The 20775-nt window shown below is 35.2% G+C and overlaps 1 protein-coding gene across 11 annotated transcripts in view; it reads right to left on the reverse strand.

Moving 5' to 3' along the window:
- The window catches only part of USP24 (ubiquitin specific peptidase 24), a 149006-nt gene that overhangs the window by 63911 nt on the left and 64320 nt on the right, over window positions 1–20775 (reverse strand). For all 11 annotated transcript variants that reach the window (XR_001737080.2, XM_047416524.1, XM_017000832.2 and 8 more), the window contains 15 exons: window positions 18194–18301; window positions 17380–17529; window positions 16660–16791; window positions 15729–15840; window positions 13858–13934; window positions 12710–12850; window positions 12473–12526; window positions 11347–11462; window positions 8675–8741; window positions 8339–8449; window positions 7537–7635; window positions 7246–7419; window positions 4059–4144; window positions 3801–3894; window positions 2276–2431 (listed from right to left, as the gene is read on the reverse strand). Coding sequence is in view for 10 of the 11 variants with exons in the window: in XM_047416524.1 (XP_047272480.1) it covers window positions 2276–2431; window positions 3801–3894; window positions 4059–4144; window positions 7246–7419; window positions 7537–7635; window positions 8339–8449; window positions 8675–8741; window positions 11347–11462; window positions 12473–12526; window positions 12710–12850; window positions 13858–13934; window positions 15729–15840; window positions 16660–16791; window positions 17380–17529; window positions 18194–18301 (1677 nt within the window). In the remaining variant the exon portion in view is untranslated. The remainder of the gene's footprint in view (window positions 1–2275; window positions 2432–3800; window positions 3895–4058; window positions 4145–7245; window positions 7420–7536; window positions 7636–8338; window positions 8450–8674; window positions 8742–11346; window positions 11463–12472; window positions 12527–12709; window positions 12851–13857; window positions 13935–15728; window positions 15841–16659; window positions 16792–17379; window positions 17530–18193; window positions 18302–20775) is intronic.

Consider the following 20775-nt stretch of genomic DNA (forward strand, 5'->3'; position numbering starts at 1 on the left):
ACCTTAGGCATACAATGCTCCCTTTTGTCCTAGTTTTCTCATCACTAAGTGAACATAGTAGTTGCCTTTACAGGAAGATTGAAGGATTAAATACTACAGCACAAGCTTTAAGGTGCTTAGTATAAGCATCAGCACAAAACAAGTACTCAGTAAACAACTGCTTATTAAGTTATGATTTAAAAATAAAGACTCTCATTGCCTCAGTCTTAAACTAGATGTAGTTCAAGATCATTTTCTAGTCTTAAAAAATCTGCTTCTATGAACCCATGAGTTTTATGAGTTTAGAACTTAATGTGGGATTTTGTTAAAGATGCCTTCTTCCTAGGTTGCTCTGGAGAAACAGGTCCACCAACCTGGGATAATGAGCATTACATGGGAGAAAAGGAACCTGTGCTCTTCTAAGCCTTTCAAATATATATAGCTCTTCGTCTACATGGACACTCTGACCCCAGCTGCCTCATGCTTAATGGACAACAATTTAGTGAACTGACAGGTTTCCTCAAAGACAAGGAAATATTCACTTTGAAGTTTCCTAGCAGGTAAATAAAAGTTAATGAACAAATTGCAAAGAAATTAACCTTTTAGCTGACAGCAAAATAAAAGCTTTTGGGAGTGTTAGGTTTCCAACTATTTTGTGTACCTAAAGCAAAACAAAAAATATCAAAGGAATTCACACCTACTCAGAAGTCTTAAAATGATACCAGAGGTATTTTACCACTGCAGTGCTATGGCTCTAAGATAATGGAATTTAGATAGTTGATGACAAGCTAGACCCATTGTTGGACCATTCTGTTTTTCTATTAAATATAGGTGTTTAAAATTACACTTGAACTTTTTGGAGATAATCATTCAAAAACAAATGACAGATCTGGCAGGAATCACAAGATGCAAATTCTTTAGGCTTAAATGGGCTAAAAATTCCTAGGCAATTTTCTGTTTTGGAAATACTGCATATATTTTATTTTTTGACATCTGTTTATTAAACAGGGTGAACATTAAGTTAGTATTTTCATTTTGAATAAGCCTCCTCAGTATGCACGAAAATGTAAAATATAATCTAAATAGAAAGCACTTTGGTACTCCATGCTGTTGTTATAACTTAATACTACACTGAATGCTACTACATTTCATAAAGTTAATTCTTAAACACAAGGATGACTCAACCTCAAACGTGGTTTCCATGCTGAATACTGCATATGTTTTTAAATGTCCATATAAATAAGGACATACTTAATTTTTAAAATATTTGCTAAATATTTTTTCTTTTTAGACCAACATGTCTTTTCACAGGAATGATTAAGGCAAATATGAAATGTCATCACACCTTGAAGCAGTAAGATATTGCTTGTATGAAAAGTTATCACATCATACAAGCAACAAGTGGAGTGGGAAAATGAAGGACTATAATTATATGCTCCCAATCAGATTGTCACATGAAATGAAACTTGGAAAAAATGCAGGTACCCTCTTAAAATTTTTGACTTTTGTGTACTTAAGATACATGATATAATAATTAAGACTGCTTAGGCACTGATATGGATTCTATTCTTTAGTGCCTGGATATAACTTCCTAAGACAAAGCAAAATCATTCAGGGCTTTATTTTCTTCAGACCAAGAGTGGTATGAGGGTCTGACCTATTACTCTCCAAGAGCAGAACTGATTTCAGTTGGTCACTTTCCCATAGTGCTTTGTTTACACTCTGCCATCCAGACTCAGTATATCCAGCTTCCATATGTCTTACTCATAAGATCTTGGAGTGAGTAACTTGTTTTTTCAACTCTGTTCCCTTAACCACCACCATGACTTGTAGACAGTAAACAATTAAATGTATTAAAGCTTCTTTTGGGGAGGCTAATTACAACGAACTGAGTGTTTGTATTCCCCTAAAATTCCTATTTTGGAAGTGAGGTCACAGTGAGACGGTGCCATCTATGAACCAGGAGGCCAGCCCACACCAGACACCGAATCTGCTGGTGCCTTGATCTTGGACTCCCTAGCCACTCCAACTATGAGAAATAAATGCTTGCAGTTTAAGCCATCCAGTCTATGGTGATTTGTTATAGCAGCCCAAATGGGCTAAGGTAGTAATAAAAATATCTTTTGCATATTCAAAGGCAAAAACGTTTCAATTTATAATCTATTTCTTAAAACTAATTTTCAACCAATCATCACATAACAGAAACCTATTTACTTATTTCTGACATCTGAAAGCATGAATCGATAAATCCAAATAGACCTGTCAAAATGAAATGGAAAGAAATTAGGTTTCTTACTTCTAAGTTGTAGAGCACTCTGAAGGTAGACATTCCCGGGGCAAAAGATCGAAACAGACTTTCTAAAATTGAACTGGCACTTGGCTGGTGCTGTTGCTTTGATGACAGGGATGGAGATTTTGAGGACTGAGAACTTGATTCAGACAGCAATGTTTTCTAAGTTTAAGAGAATGAGAAAGACATAAACTACTTAAAAGGACAAATTAAAGAGAAACAGATCTTAGTACACGTCCTAATATTCTTTCCCTCTTTAATATAAGCCACACCAATGCTATTTTCTAAAAATTAACTTCATAAAACCACATCACTCCGTAACTATTAAAACATCAAACTTCATCATACAAATTCTAAATGTTCAATAAGATTCAAATACTACGTGAATGCTTTTGAGCATGTATTCTAAGCAACACCTGAGAAGGTCATTTTAATTAGTTTCTGTGTTTAAAATTTGTATCTCTAAATACTGATAATAAAATTATAAGATTGCTAAAGTGGTAGGCTTGAAAAATCTGTTAAGCTAATACTAGTGATATATTTTATAATTACATTAGTTTTATCCTTTAAATTAGTGTATAAGCAATAAATGACATGACTGAGCTGATCTAAATTTCTACCACTAAATTATAAAATAGAAAATATAGTTCTAACAACTTTTTCTACATCAATTTATTCTGAGAACATAATTAAACAATATTATAGATACGACACAATTTCAATATATGGATAAATCCCTTAAGGAACAACATTCTAACAATTAACAAAAATGAACTTTAAATATCAACTGTGAAAAAATTAAATGATAATCCATTTATATTAGCAACTCAGACATACGCAATGATCAGATTCAAAGAGGCATCATGGGTAATGAAAAACGTCTCAACTGAATCACAACTAGAGTCTGATCTGGGACAAGTAACTTCATCCCTCTGAGCTTTGGCTTCCTAATATATAACATGAGGAGGTGGAAAGGTAGATGGTACTAAAGGCTCTTCCAGTTCTGACACCTGATGTCATTATTGACTTTATATAAATACTTTAAAAGTCAACATTAAGTTCTGATTTCCATTTATAGCAAAGGTATTTCTCTCTCTCTCTTTTTTTTTTTTTTTTTGAGACAGGGTCTTGCTTTGTTGCCCAGGCCAGAGTGCAGTGTGTAATCTTGGCTCACTGCAGCCTCGACCTCTTGGGTTCAAGCTATCCTCCTACCTCAGCCTCCTGAGTAGCTGGGACTACAGGTACATGCCATCACACCAGCTAATTTTTTTATTTGTAGAGATGGGGTCACCCTACATTGCCCAGGCTGGTCTTGAACTCTGGGGCTCAAGCCATCCTCCCACCTTGGCCTCCCAAAGTGTTGGAATTACAGGCGTGAGCCACTGCACTGGGCTGGTGAAGGTATTTTTCAAAAGAAGAAAAAACATTATGGGAAAGATGGTATCATATGACCTTGATGTGATTTCAGGTTGTATTTTCACTCACTGAATTGTGATATAAAATTGCCATGCTAGTTAAAAAATACTCATACCTTTCTTCCTAAAGAATCAAGTTGATCAAGGGCTTCCTGAATGGCTGGATCAGTGGGTATCAAGAGCAGAAGCTTCCGTACTCGTAGAGTTATCCTGAAGTTTTTCAAATACAAATTTTTTCATATAAGCCATAGTTTAATTCAACAAAGTCCATTAGTATGGAATATAAAATAAAATGCATTTCAAGTGAAAAGTTACTTGGCTCCCTAATGTTAGTAACTTTCTCTCTGCCAAGCCTCACAAATATTTATATTTACCTTGGCTCTTCCAGATTGGCGAGCTGATAAAGCATGTCAAATACGTTACATACGAGAGCCATCACTACACCAGGGAGGGATTTCTCCTGATGGAAAAAAGCAAAATAGAAATTCAAATTTACAAAAGAATGTTCTCCTTTCCTAATCAAACTTACAAACAATAAAAATACTAGTTCTGAAAGGCTGGCTGGTCACTGTAAAGCTTGAGGGAAGCACAGTGCTCGTCTGTACTGAAGAACACCACATGGTAACATATTAGACGAGGGATCACTACCTCCTAGCGTGTATTACTTGCTCTCCCTTCTCCTGGCCACCTGCTAGTGAAGGGACTAAGGTGCCAAAAGGCAGGCACAGTAGAAGAGAGGTAAAGCAGAGAGCATGTGTAATTAATATAATGGAGAGTAGGCACCACTGAGCTAATGACTGCTCCCCAGTAGAGAACAGGGGGAGTGATGTGAAAACAAAAGTAGTGTGTTTATGTATCGACATTCACACACAACAATAAATACATGTAATTTAAGTTGAGACAAAGAAGTTACCATGTTTTTTTCCCAAAGATCAGAAAAGACAAAATGGTTATAACTGCATAAAAGAGATTCAGATATGACTAAAGCACTATTTTCTGGTTATAAGGAATAAGAAATCGGACATCATTACACAACGTATTTACAAGTGGGAAGATTTTTAATAAATTCAGGATAAATGTGAGACAGTTAAAAATTATTAAACTTGAAGATACTATGTACACTGTTTTTGTTATTTAGCTGCTATAATATCATTCTGAGTGGGGTTTCTTTTTAAAATTCTTGTTATATATGAAATATAATTTTTAAAAAAATTGAGATGGGGGTCTCGCTATGTTGGCCAGGTTGGTCTTGAACTCCTGGCCTCCAACAATCCTCCTGCCTCAGCCTCCCAAACTACTAGGATTACAGGCATGAGCCACCACACCCAGTCTTCAAATACAGTTAACTCTGACAACCCCACAATACCAACACAGGCTGAGTATCCCTAATTCAAAAATCTGAAATGTGAAATTCTCCAAAATCGGAAACTTTCTGAGTGCTAACATGACACCACAAGTGGAAAATTCCATGCCTGACCTCATGTAACCGATCTCAGTCAAAATCTTGTTTCATGCACAAAATTATTTAAGATGTTGTATAAAATTACCTTCAGGCTGTGTATATAAGGTGTATATGAAACATAAATGAATTTAGTGTTTGGATTTGGGTCCCATCCTCAAGATATCTCATTATGTATATGCAAATATTCTAAAATCCTAAAGACTACTCAACTTGCACTAAACTTGAAGAGTTCTTTGATCTCTCTAGTAAGGTTTATGCTCTGTAAATTAAAAAGATGCAGTCACACAAAGTCTTACATTTGGAATTAAAGAAATATATATAATAACCATAGGGGGAAATATATATAATAACCATAGGGGAAAAAAAACCCTATATGTCTTTTAAATACCTTTACTTTACATTAGCTTGCTTTCTAGACTATAAAAGCCTAAAAAGCAGAACAGTCTTACGCAGCTTTGTACACCTGGAGTCCTAACACAGAGAAGGTACAAAATAAACTAATTCATGAAGTCATTGAAATATTGATTGAGTACCTATCATGTTCTAGGCACTGTTTTAGGTGTCGAGGACGCAGCAGTGAACAAAACAGAAGAAAATCTGCTCTCATGGAGCTTACATTTTATTGGGAGAGAGAGATAAACAAGATAAATAAAATATATAGTATGCTAAAGAAAAAATAAAGTAGGGAAGGGAAATAAAAAGAAATACAGGGGTAGGAAAGAGGCTGAAAATCTAGACAAGACAGTCAGAGAAGGCTCACTGAGAATATGAGTAAAAGCTGAAGAAAGTGAGAGTGAGCCACCTGCATCAGGAAAGAACAGTTTAGGCACAGGGAAGAGCAAATTCACAGACCATGCTATTTGAGGACCAACATGGAGGCCAGTGAGGCTGGAGTGGTGAGAGAAGCTCACAGGAGACAACCTTGGAGAGGCTCCGGGGGACACATTAGGAAGGCCCTGAAGGTCCCAGTAAAGACTGGCTCTTATTCTGAGTGAGACAGGAGCCACTCGGGCCGAGTGGTACAATCTGACTTATGTTTAGTAAGATCCTGGGCCACTGGGTGCCCTGTAGAGAAGAGACTGAACTGGTCTAAGAGCAGAAACTGTGAGAGCAGTTAGGGCACTACTAAAATATGCCAGGTGAGGCATGGTGATTGCCTAGACTGGTGTGCAAGCTGTGGATGCAGAAAAAAGTAGCTGGATTGTCGATGGATTCTGAAGGTGGAGTCAAGAATTTGGTCATGGACACGGGTGTGAAAGAAGGAACCCAAAGATTCTGGCCTGAGCCAACTAGAAGACTGGAGATGCCATCATTTGAGATACAACAAGGCTGTGGGAAGAAGAGATTTGGGGTGGGAGTGAGGTAGTGGGGAAAAGGGTATAAGGAGCTCAATTCGGGATAAATTAGGATTGGGGTGCCTAGTAGACACTTAAGAGATGTTAAGTGGATGGATCCATTTATTTCAGGTTAAAACTAAAAAGTGGAAGTTAGCAATGTACATACAATATGCAGAGACTGGAGACTGGATGAGATTTTTAAGGGAATGACTGTAGACAGAGGAGAGGTCCAAAGATTGGGCCAGGGAACTTCTCAGTACAGAGATCAGGGAGATGAAGAGAAATTGGCAAAGGAGACCAAAAAACAAAAAACCAACCAAATAAAAAACCAAACAGGCGGAGAGACAGTGGAAATTCACACCAAGTCCCGAAAGCCAAGTGAAGAGTGTTCCAAGGGGGAAGCGATCACACGTATCAGCTTCAATGAAATGTCAAGAAGATGAGGACTAAGAGGTGGAGGTGACAGACCAACTTGAAAAGAGGCTAATTCTTATCAACAGAGATCAAGAGAGGATGGCAAAAGAAAAGCTGGAAACGAGTTCAGACAACTGTTTCAAGGAGCTTTGCTGATTTTGGAAGGAGAATGGGGCAGTAACTGAAGGTGTAAGTGGGATGAAGAGATTTTTTTAAGATGGAAGAAATAACACAACAAGCTTGAACACTAATGAATCCCAGCATTTGTTATACAGTTTGGAAGAGTCAGAACAAAAAGACAGTGACTGTTAAGTTCTTGTTTTTAAATGGAAATTGATCACCCAGTACCTGCTCCATGGCATATGAAGAACTAAAAACCCCACTGCTGCTGCTGCTGGAGCTGGTTGAAGAATCTGCTGAACTCCCAGATGGGGTCCCACTGCCAGAAGTCTTCACTGTAAGGATTTGTTCATCAGAAAAGCCCAGTTGGTGGAGTAGCTTTTGATCTTTATTCACTGTCAGCTGCAAAAAGTGGTTTCTTAATTATTGAGAGGAAAAGGAAGAGGAAATTATTCATATCAGGCTAAATATTTATATTATATCATTTATTATTCATCAAAACTGCTTATTTAAACCTACCAGGCTATCATTTGTAAATATCTGTATATTATCCACAGGAGAGCACAACTGCTTGGCTATTTTCCACCGGACACTCCCTATGGTTTCATTACTGTGAGCCTGTAAAATAAAATTAAACACGTTGTGAGAGAATTCATTTATTTATTCATTTAAACAACTGTGAGTGAACATCTACTAGGTACTGGGCACTGTTCTAGAAGCTGGGAACACAGCAGAGAACATAAAGACAAGAACCCCTGCCCTCGTGAGGCTTCCCTTCTGCTATAATTATGTTCCATTCTACACTCCACCTCCTCCCCATCAAGCGTGGAATGAGACCTCAAGCCCTTCTTCCACTGCAGCGTTGTCCACTCTTTCCCTTTCTCACTGTGCTCCCCTCACACCAGCCACCTTGCTTGCCTTTGTACCTGTTCTTCCATTTGCCTGGAATGTTCTCCCAAGCAAACGTCATTTACCCTGTCACTTTACTCAAGTTTGTGCTCAAATGTCACCACCTCAGAGAGACCTTCCCTGTCCATCTTTACCTAAAATATTTTGTGCATTCCCATCTTATCACCCTCCTCACCAATGTATCCTGCTTTACTCTTATTTGTTCTTTACAATACTTAACCACCGCTTGACATTATATAATATTTATTTATATATCTGCTTGTACCCCACAGTTTCATTTCAGGTCTTTATTCTACATTTGTTTACCAAACTACCTTTAGAATGATTATTCATGCAGCTAACTCAATCAAGACTGCTTTATGAAAATAATAAGACAACATGAAAATGGCTGTAGTTCTTAATGTAAACCTACCTCGACAGTGAAGGTATCTTTGGTAGACTCATAGGTAACATTAAGGGTTAAAAGATGTCCATGAAATGAGGCACCATGAGGTAGAATAGTTCGTGGAACAGAGTAAAAATCCTTAAAAAACGAATAAGTCAAGTCAGATGGACAGCACCACTGATAAACACATCAAAAATACATATCTATGTATATATGATGAATGAAGATGCTTTTTTAAGAAAAGAGAGGCTAACTGGGTGTGGTGGTGTGTGCTAAACTCCCAGCTGCTAGAAAGGCTGAGGTGGGAAGATCGCTTGAGTCCAGCCTAAGCAACATACATCTTAAAAAAAGGAAGTGGCTTACCTCTATAGTGATCACATAGCGCTCTGCCAGAAGCAGCAATCTCTCAATTATTACAAGTTTAGTAGATCTATAGATTAAAAAAAAAAAGTATTAAAATGTATTTGAAGTGTGATGATCTGAGCTCAGTTCTAGTCTGTTTCACCAAAACCACAATAACAGTTAGCACTCACTGGTCAAAGACTGAAATTTGCAAAGATTAAACTTCCCTTTTACCCAATGGGGAGGTGGTTCTACAAGCTCACAGCTGTAGCATACAGATGGAATAAGGGAGAAGCCTATACCTCCCCATGTTTCCTTTCCTTTTCTTTCTTCTTTTCATTTCTTTAAACAGTTATTCCATAAATGGAGGACCTGGGTTTCTAGGCCTATCTGTCCATTAATTTATCAAGAATGAAATGAGTGAGTCTGACTTTATCTTATAACTAAAATATGATATACAATTCTGTGAACACATGAAATCTGACAAAGTTCTGAACTGCCTGAGAATTAGAAGACAAATGCAAATCAGTAAGTACGACACAAACAAAAGTTGCTATCTAAAAATGAGATCTGAGGTCTCTTTTGGTTGAAGACTTATGGAATCTTACTTATCATTTGAAATAATCAGACTGCAATATTCATCAGCTTATATAGTCATAGCCCCATACTTTACTAAAAAGAACATTACATGTATTAACATTAAGAAATGAAAATCCAAGTCCCCTTAATTTAAACATTTTCTATTCCAGAGAGTCTAGATATTTCAAAGAGGTATATTTCTAAAACTGAAAAGAGGTACTACCATTTTTTAACAATTGGTCTGGTATGCTGATTAGCAGTACCAAAAATTTCACTCTAAAAACAGCTGGTTAAACACATTTTAGCAGTTCTATTAAATATACTTAACAGAGTTCTAAATTATTCCAGTCTATGGGCAAGAACTAGAACTTGAAATTCAGACGAAAAATTTTTAGAAAATATCTAAGTCCATAATAAGTGAGTGAACTATTTTTTAATTATGCCTCAATAATGAATTAAATCACAGACAGTATTATGAAATACTGTACAGATGACAGAAACCCCCCCCACCCCAAGTTGGAACAATTATGGATACTGAAAAGTTCTTTCCAAACTAGTGAAATGAGATAAACTACAATGTTCTGGTTCAAATTCGACTTTGAAGCTATATATTCTTATTAACCCTATTTAGAGTTTATAATATTTTAAAATTATTATGTGGTTTTCTCTGTAGTCCACCAAATATGAAATGATTCCGAATAAAAAGCACTTAGTAAAGAGAAAAAAACAAAAAGCATACTCATTTAAAGAAGTAGGAGTTTGGACATCCTAACCCAATAGCACATAAATATACTTACATTCGAATTTATCAGATAAATGAACCATTAAGGAACTGAGTCATAGAGATGGCTACATATTACAAACACATAATTGGGAATTCTTAATACACATTTTAAATGAAAGTCTATTTGAGAAATACTTCCAAGAATGTGGGAATGTGAAAGTCATGTTAGTGTTCTTATCATGAGTTGAATCTATCATTACTTCTGCCATTTAAAAAAGAAGTCTGAGAAAGCTGAGTTTATTGGCTTCCTTCATATTAACAAAGTACAGTGACACAATACTCAACTCATTTTAAAAAAGAAGAATGGAAGAAAGGACTCATTGCTTTGATTCCCCTTTTTAAAGGAAGGCTTTAACAAGCAAAGGAATATCCCGTTGTGAATAAGAATAGCCATTCTAGAGTAGAGAAAGACTCTATGAGTACCCATCACTAGAGGGCAGCAGCAGAGTGAGGTAGGGAGAGCAAGTCCTTCTCAGAGCACTCGCCAGTTTTCTGGGAAATAATGACGTGGTGTTGCTTACCAGCAGAGGCTCATAAAAAACCCACAAAAGTATTTTAGTTACTTCCATCTAATGTTCCAAATTATGCATGGTTTCTCCTATATCTCCTATTCATGAAATCTGAGTTTAGTGAAATCTGTTATCAGAGAACTACAGCAGACACTAAACTCAAGATTTCATCAATATCTGAAAACTCAAAAAACAGCAATGTGATTGAGACAATGTCAGTTTAAAGTTTTCACACAAACATTTGGGGATAAAGTTCTCACTAAAAATTATTTTGAAAAATACTTTTATTATTTGAATAATATTTTAGTGACTATGATTATAGTCACTAATCATATGCAAGCATAATGCATACTTTTAATTAATCATCTTCTACTTCATTCTGCTTACCCTATTAATGCCCTGAGTTTGACTATTCAAGGAGAAAAGCTATATCTAAGTAAATATTTTTAACTTGAAAAAAAGTAGTTTTCATACAATGTATGTGTATTGCATTCTAAACAGTAAGTTATTCATACTACATAGAATAAAAGTAAAATGAATCAAATAAAAACTAAAACAAGAAGACCTGTCCACCAGGTAGAAGGATAGGGACAGGGAAGTACTCGGGTGGTCCTGGTGATGACCTACACACAGAACTTCCAAAGAGGCACAGATTCAGGGATGTATGATGGGGAACATGTAATTCTCAGGATTATGACAGCTTGCAAAAATTATGATATAAAATGAGGAAATCAATAACTGAGAAACCTACATAAAAAACACCAATCATTTTAAAAAACTGACATATGTGTGTTGTGTATTTTTCACTTCTGATCACTTACCTATAAGGAGACTGAACTGAGGTTGCTACAGTTGGCATGGCAGTTGCTGTAAGCATTTTTGTTGCTCTGGTCACAGCATGTGTTAGAGTGGGGCCACCAAGTGCTGAACTGGCTGCCTAAAAAATACCAAACAGTCATTCTCTATCAGGGTTTCTCAACCTGGACTCTAGTGACATTCTGGACAGGATAATTTGCTGTTGCAGAGGGCTGTCCTGGGCATTCACTGTAGGATGTTTAACAGGATCCCTGGCCTCTACCTACTTAGGGACCAGTAGGATGCTTCTAGTTGGACAACCAAAAATGCCTCCAGATATTACCAAATGACCCCCAGAGGCAAAATAAGCCCCAGCTGAGAACTAGTGCCCTATATATGTTAACACTTACATGGGACCTCATAAGGGGTATTCGAATACTTGAATTTTTTTTATAATGACATATTTGGATAGAAGTCACAATTAGGGAAATACCGTACATATTCTAGCACATATTTATCACCAGAAAGCTTAACTTATTGGAATTGGGAGGCAGTAGCATTTTATGCTTTTGGAACATTTTTGCTTAGATGTAAAACTTAAGCATATCAACTGAATATGAATGTTTAAGGCTTTAACCGTCATGCTGGAAATAAAAGAGATACATGTGAGCTAGCATTACACAGCAGGCTTCTAATGGACAAAGACAACCAATACCACCTACTACTAACTGTCTTGCTGTGGCCTTTAATAACATTTATGGTATAACTAGGTGAAACATGAAGAAAAACAAAAAAAGAAGCAGTGCTTATATAAAATACCTGAACAGGAAAAGAAAAAAAAGAAAAAGATTCTATTACAAATATGGAATGTATAGGTGACCTATTTTCTGAAGATAGTTCCTATACTCCAAAAGGGGAGGAAGGTGGATGGAGTGGGGAAGACAGGTGGTGAGAGGGAGAAAGATTTCCTATAGAGTACACTTATATACTGGGCAAACATCTGTTCCCTATGCCACAATATGGTACTGTTGATAAATTCTTCAATAGGATCCAGCCACAAACATCAACATTATAAATTATCTAAAAATATAAAATTATGAAAGAAAAAAAGCATTTACCTCAAAGAGATGTTAAATAAAATTTGCTACTCACTTCTAATCTTGTGTAGCAATCAGCAATGAATTTCTTATGTAAAGATACTGAATCCTGAAAGAGTATATGGAAATTACAATTAGTCCTTGACATTTAGTTGTAATCATTATTCAGGACAAAATATCAAAATAAAGAAGCCAATTTTTGGTCATGCCAAGGATCACAGCTTATCACTAAAATATACATATAATTTTCTGCTTTTTTGTATATGGATAACTTCTTTCCTTAGATACCTACCTTCTTTAATCTAGGATTTAGATTAATGTAACTATAGTTTATGATTAGCTGAATAGCTTCATTAGCAATTTCTTCATCAGGTGATTCCATGGCTATTTTCCAAATGAAATCCATTCCTATCAATTCCAGCTTTTCTACATACTGTTCAAAAGAAAAAAAATTAAATTATAAAGCATATCAAGATCACAAAGTTACAAAATCACAGATAATTATTTTGTTACATCATGAGTCCACACCTCTTCAGTTCAATATGAATTAAGGCTGCAAAACCTCAGCTATATGAAAATAATATTATACTGATATGGAACTTTAAAAAGCAACCAACCACAGAAGCACTGGGCAAATTCCACGGGAACCAGGATAGGTACAGAGATATCTCTTCAGACATCCCTAGACCCAAACTGGACACACAGCCCAACAGGCTACTGAAGCAGAAATAGAGCAGGAGTGAGATGGGCACCATCTTCAGGAGCTTTTCTTCAAAAGGAAACAGTCAAGCCAGAAGTGGTCACTAATTCTTGGGGCTCAATCTGGTCTTTCTAAAGCTCAGTAGTAAACAGTAGGACCCAGGGCTTGTAAAATCTTGTAAAAATTCTAACCACCCAGGAAGCCATGTCCTGAATAAAAAGGACTTGGAAAAAGAGTTAATAAGCCTTTTTTTTTTTTAAAGGAGCATGTGTAAATATAAACATAAGCTGTACATCCTAGTTTTCCTGCCTCACTGTCTATTCCTCAATTTTTCTCCCCAAATCCCTGCCACTGTGATCCCAGGACGAAGACTGTTCTTGCTTTTTTAGGTACATGTGAATTGCTGGATCTGAGGAGTTCGAAGCTTAGGTGAACTATCCCTGCTCTGCATTCATGTGGCCACAGGAGGCCACTGGCTGTCCCTAGATCAGCCAGAAACAGAGAGATGTGAGAGAGAGCAGTGTCCTCGCAGGTAGCTGGTGAGGCATGGTAGTGCAGGTAGGAGCCTCCCTTACACTAGGAGAAGCTCTGTCATCAACATAGAAGCTGGCAGTCAAGGAGATGCTGTTCTTTACCAAAAAAATCCATGTTATCTCTCAATTATAACACTTTTTTTTTTGCTGAATATCAAGTTATACTAGATTATCCAAACTATCTAGATTTGAGAATAACGTACTTACCAACTGAGCTCCTTGTCTTTTCAATCGATGATCACAAAGATTCACATTTTCAAAAAAAGTTTTAAATAAGTTAAAACCTGTAATTATAGAATGCCAAATAAATTCATGTACTCTACGTAACACAGATAATCAATGAAAAGACTCAAAGTGGATCAAGAACTAAAACCATAAGACTCTTGGCATTGGCTTCTTAGATATGGTACCAAAGCAGAAGCAACAAAAGAAAATATTAGTAAATCAGATATAATCAAAATTAAGTGCTTCAAATGACATTAACAAGAAAGTGAAAAGACAACTCACATAATGGAAGAAAATACTTGCAAATCAACTATCTGATAAGGAGCTAGTACCCAGAATATATAAAGAACCCTTGCAACTCAAGAATTAAAAGACAAACCAATTTTAAAATGGGCAAAAGATTTTAAGATTTCTCTAAAGAATATAAACAAATGGCCAATAAGCACATATAAATAGATGCTTAATATAATTAGTCACCAGAGAAGTGCACATTAAAACCATTAGATTTGGCCGGGTGCGGTGGCTCAAGCCTGTAATCTCAGCACTGTGGGAGGCTGAAGCAGGAGGATCACCTGAGGTCTGGAGTTTGAGACCAGCCTGGCCAACATGGTGAAACCCTGTCTCTACTAAAAATAAAAAATTAGCCAGGCATGGTGGCATGCGCCTATAATCCCAGCTACTCGGGAAGCTGAGGCAGGAGAATCACATGAACCTGGGAAGTGGAGGTTGCAGTGAGCCAGGATGGTGCCACTGCACTCCAGCCTGGGCGACAAGAGTAAGACTCCATCTCAAACAAACAAACCAAAAAAACACCCATTAAATTTTGATACCACTTTATACCCATTACGATGTCTAAAATAAAAAAAGGCAGATAATAACAAGTATTGTTGAGGATGTGAAGAAATTGGAACCCTCATATATTGCTGGTGGGATTACGAAATAGCGTGGCACTTTGCAAAACAGACAGTTCCTGAAAGGTTAATTATATGTCAGAACAATCTGACTTCTAGATATACATCCAAGAGAAATGCAAACTCGTACCCACTGAAAAACTTGTACATGAATGTTTACAGCAGTATTAACCGTAACACCCAAAAAGTGGCAACAATCAAAATGTCCATTAGTTCAAGAATGGATAAATAAAATATGGTATACCCACACAGTGGAATATTATAAAGCCATAAAAAGGAACGAAGTACTGATACATGCTACAACCTGGGCGAACCCTGAAAACATTATGCCTTAGTACAATGAAAGAAGCCAGAGACGACAGATCACAGTGTATGACTCCATTCATATCAAATGTCCAGATTAGGCTAATCCATAAAGACAGAAAATAGATTAGAGGCTGGATAAAATGAATGGAAAGTGACTGTTAATGGGTATAGGTTTATTTTTGGGGTAATGAAAATGTTCTGGGATTGGAACAGAGTGAAGGTTACATAATTTTGTGAATATACTAAAAGCCACCATTTGTACACTTTAAAAAGTGAGTTTCATGGTATGTAAATTATATCTCAATTTAAAAATTCAATGAAAAGAAACATCTGAAAGGAGGATTTCTATACCTTGATACATTTTTACCTTAATGAACCCTTTTGTACTAAGAAATTTTAAAAAGACAATTTGGCAATTTGATCTAGCAGGCCATATGATTTAAAAACTAATTATAAGATACCATTCATGTAGAAAGGAATTTGAGTACTAAATATGTCTTTAGATGCACAAGAAAAATTCTAGAAGGATATTCCTAACTGTTTAGTTGCTTCTGAGAAGGAGGATTAAAAGTAAAGGAAAGAATAACACTTCTTACTTAAAAGTACTGAAAAAAATGATTTTAAGTTTTTTCCTACCATTCATAGTGATTTCATATGACTCCAATTTAAGAATTTTCTCCTTGAAGAGCTGCTGCTGAACATCACTCTCAAGATCATGCTGTCCTTTTGTAAACCATTCAAAACACATCTGTGGAATAAGACGAATATCACCCTATAACTAAGATCCATTTCAGGCACATACATATTCCAAACTGGAAAAGTAAAGATACATTTTAATACTTCAAATGTTTATACTGTCAAAATACCACTCAAAGCTAAAATGCTTGGAATTCTGAAATTAAATGAAGCAGTTACTAGCAATCTTTCTTCTAGATAATAAAAATATCTACTCATACTTTTCACTGGATTTTATACTTGGGTTTTTCCATCAACATTTACTGCCTGCTTACAACAGGCACTATGCTGGGCACTATCACAATAGTGAAGCCTTTCGACAAGTCTAGGAAGTAGTTAATATTATTCTGTCAAATAAGATGAGGAAAATGAAATTTACTCCTAGAAAATGTCAAGGCAGGTGTTCTGTTCCTGATTTAATCTATCTTTGGCTGCTTAATTATAGTTTACAAAAAAATGTGGCCAGGTACTAATTCTTCTTTACTGTTTTTGGGGTGCAACATCATTATAGGAACTCAAAGTTTTCTGTTGGCAACTTAAAATTAGTTTCATATGGAAGGGAAAAAACTTAAATATATCTAGAATTCTTTATACTCATTTGGTTAAATTTGGTATTTTATCCAGAATGGTATCAAAATTACCAAAGAACTCATACATTTATTTTTATCATGAATATATGTTATATAAAACATTTTTTCAGCACTTACAGTTCTTGGCCCATACTATTTATGCTTATATAAACTGAAAAGTGTTTAGAAGATGTGAGACACACAGAAAAAGTGAAATATTTAAATATTTCTGCCTTACTTTATCCACAATACCACCTTCTTACCTCTCTATCTAATTCACAAACATCCTGGCCAGTTACAAGACACTCCCAGATCTCCTTGGCACGATTCCAGCCCAGATACAGAGTAGCTTCTTGCAAGAAAAACGCTAGAAATTTTAGATGTGCCTCTAAATACTGCAAAAAGAAATAATGCTAATTAGTTAACTCCAGGCATTCATTCCTAAAAGCAACATTAAAACAAAACAAAACTTTAAGTTTTAACAACAGTTTTACTTAATCCTTTTTCATATAATTTAGGGTAAAGTAAATATTAGAATTCTGTTTACAAATTGATAGTACAATGTAATAGAAGCTATCTATCTCAAGTCTATTAGAAATTCAGTTGATTTTGGATGTCAATAAAATGTAATTTCAGCAATCTCAAAGTAAAACACTACAAACTCACAACTGGTGAGTTAAGATTTTTTTCCTAATTTTTTAAAAAACAATAATGTTACTAATCAATTGATTTGAAAAACAAAACCCATTATCCACTGAATTAGCAATTATTATTTCAGATCAAAGACAAAAAAAAGATGTTTATTCCTTCATCATATGAAAGATAACTCACAAACACCAAGATACAAAACTGTTCCCTCACTACAAAGATACCTCATACAACCTCTTTATAGTTACAGCTAACAAAAATTCTTTTTATAGTATAAGTATAAAAAGGTCAAATTAATGTTGTAAATCATGAAGCAAAAACACAAGGCCTGATACCTCCCGGTAAGTGTACCGGCCATCCACTAGTGTCGAGCCACTTAAGCCTCCAGGCCCGGCCACAGCAGCTGCAAGCCGATGACAAGCGATCAAACTTCCCGTTACCAATTTCACTATTTCAAAATTCTTCTTCAAGTCTTGAATAATGCTCTTGGCGAAAATAACAAAAAGAAAAGTGGTAATGAGAATTTGCAGTTATTTTGCTGGTTTAATACAAGCTGCTATTTAAAGATGTAGTCCTAGATGAGACAAAGCAAACATAAGAATTTCCTCATTCGTATTTCCTACACAAAAGTAAATAAAATCAATCTGGTATGTACATTTACTAGAAAATTAATAAACTACTAATGTTTTCCATCTAAAAATATTCATTTTATTTATTTTTTTAAAAAGCCTATAAAAATAACTATTTCACTTCCTGTATACTTTTCTGGATCATCCTTCCCAAGTCTATACATTGAGGAAACTCTAGTACTTTAAGCAAACTAATCTTTTTGTGATACAAAACAAGCAACAAGCTTTTTAATCTTTTCAAACCAATTTTTAAAATGCCATTCTAACTTTTAAAAACTGGCTTAACTATTTGAAAATTAAGCAAATAAAAAGAAAATGAGTTAAGGAGATTAAAAAAAAAAAAAAGCTCTGCAGAAATGAAAGCAGAATGATGCTTAAACTCAAGATTATTAGATGATATAAGTGAATTACATCAATAAACATAAAGATAGTGACTATAAACTCAGCAATTTTAGCCATGTTTTGTTATTGTAAAAGTTATGCAAGTAACTATAATAATAAAAAATAGCTATACCCTTACCTTGTCTTGCTTTTGATAGGTTTGTTTTATGAATGAGCGAGTAATTTCATGGAGCTGACGCAAAGCTGGTACCACCCATACAAACTGGGGATTATTAAGCTGAGATGACTAGAGTTAAAAAGAAGTTACATTAATTAAATTTAGAAATAAACAGCAGATTCATTTATTAGCTATAAAAAATTTCAAGTCAATCAGGTTTACTGTTACACATTTTATTATTTTACTCTTTATATTGACCATTTAGAGCTTATCTCCATGCACTCATAATTCAGTCTTCAACTTCTTATTCTGCATGCAATTTCCTAAAGCTAAGAACTGCAAACAGGAGTGGATGTGAAGTGACAGTAAATGTACAGGGGTACATCAGCAAAAAACAGACAACAAGGAATTAGCAACTTCAGAGGATAGATTAAGTAGCACAGGCTGCTAAGTCATGTTGACACAAAATAAACTGATGGCCAAAGCTTAACTTGGATAACACTGAACTGCATGGTAAGTAAAATGGAGTAAGAATATTGCTTTCTATGATTATATGACTAGGATACCAATGATATGATCAAGACACTGGTAGTGGTCTAAATATTAAAGAAAATATTCATAATCTGTATTTCCTAGTTAAAACACTTTCATAAGAGGTAATTCTATTTTTATTATTACAGACATTTTACACTTACACTGTACATTTTTCAAAACACTTCCAAATATATTATTTCTGAAACTGGTATATGACAATCCAGATCGTCATAGTACAGATCTAAAAAGTCTACTGTTTGTGTAATACTCTTTATAAAGAGAACTACTTTTTAATAAATAGCATCTTTCAAACTATGAAATTTCAAAATTTGGTAAGAATTTCAGTTTAAACATGACTATTAAATCTCTAACCAAAAAGCTGAGTAAAAACTTAAGTCCTCAGCATTCTTCAGAGGCTGAAGTTTTTGTTTTAATGCCTCCTTGTTCTATTGAGCCTTAGTGTAAGATGAAGACCCTTGTGGAGGGGAAATACACTTTTGTTGTCTTTGTAGAGAAACATCTCACTATTGAATATGTAAATGTGAGCAAGTTATTGTCACACAATACTTTTTTCCTTGCCTCATAGGGATCAGCCAATCCTCAATCAGCAAATACTGTATTTCCTAGATTCTAAGACAAAGATTTCATATATTTTAACATATCTGAAATTGACACTTTAGACAATTATGTCAAAAGAAACTCACCAGCCACTAGGCACAGGAGTAAGTTTTTATATAGCTGTGCTTACCTGAGTATGTGCAAACTTAGCTGTACACAAAAGGTATTTGTTCTTCTACCTATCATTTTAGTTGTTACCTGGTATAGGTAGTACCAAACAAGAATGGCTTTCTCACTTAAATTTGGATCACTAATTTGTTACTTAAATGTTATCAAAAAGATTACACTATAATGCAACACTAACTAACCAGTTGTGTCCATCAACACAATTAAAATAAAACAGTCAGTGGTCTCACACTAAAGCATTTTCCGAAGTCAGGAGAAGCTGGCATGACAGACTCATACCCTGTGAAGGGCTGTACCACTCAGCACTAAATGTCTCTCTGTCCTAAGCTGCACCTTATTTCAAGAGAAGGTGTTTAACTTGTAGTGTACATAACTCAATTATGAAAAAAAGCAAGTTGAGTTTTACAAAAGAGAACAAGCACACAAAACTCCATATTCATCAACATGCCTCAAAATTATACAGCCAATCATAAAGATTTCAGAGAGGTCCAAAGCATTACTATATACAATGCAAAGCAGTGTGCTCCCATGAAGTTGTTCATAATTGTTCAAAAAAAGGCTTAGGCTCAACCTCTCATTAAGAATCTAAACCAATGGTCCATAACTGCAAAACGGACAGTTTCTTTTTTTCTTCTTTGCAAGTTTATTAAATCTGAGATGCAGGGTGCAATCACTGGCATCTTAGAATCACAGAAATAAGGTATATATTAAAGGTCAACTACTTGTGAGACTAGCTAGACTACTTCTGGCTACACTATAAAAGTTGCAAAATGACAGTAATAAAAACTGTAAGGTTTATATCCAAACAGATACCTTCCCAAAAGGATTACAAAATTGGGACATAAATATGAACTCTTCAGCAAGAAGCAAATATATTAAAAAGTATCATGATGGCCAATTAAGTCAATTATGGTAACAATATTTTTATTTAATATTGAAAATTATCCTTTGAAGGTAACTTGTTATACAATAAAATTCAAAGAAAAAGTCTATAAAACTAAAATTTAAGAATTATTTCTGATATAGCCTTCTTAAAGTTTAGCAAACAGGAAAGATGTTGTTTATTTCATCTTATCTATGACGTGGTGACAAGTTATAAGAAAAATTTAAATTACTCTTCTCCAATTACAATGAAGATATCTGATAATGTCACAGAGTGGAGATTTCATAAGTAGGACCTGATGGGATGTCTAAATTGGACTCAACATTAGATGAAGCCTTAGAGGTCAGTTGGTTTAGCCTGCAAACCTATGCCTAAATTCTCTTTATTCATTTTTTATACAATGACTGACTTAGTATTTCCACTGATGAGGAACTCACTACCT

Source organism: Homo sapiens, chromosome 1 (assembly GCF_000001405.40).
Source record: "Homo sapiens chromosome 1, GRCh38.p14 Primary Assembly".
In the NCBI taxonomy this organism is placed as follows: Eukaryota; Metazoa; Chordata; class Mammalia; order Primates; family Hominidae; genus Homo; species Homo sapiens.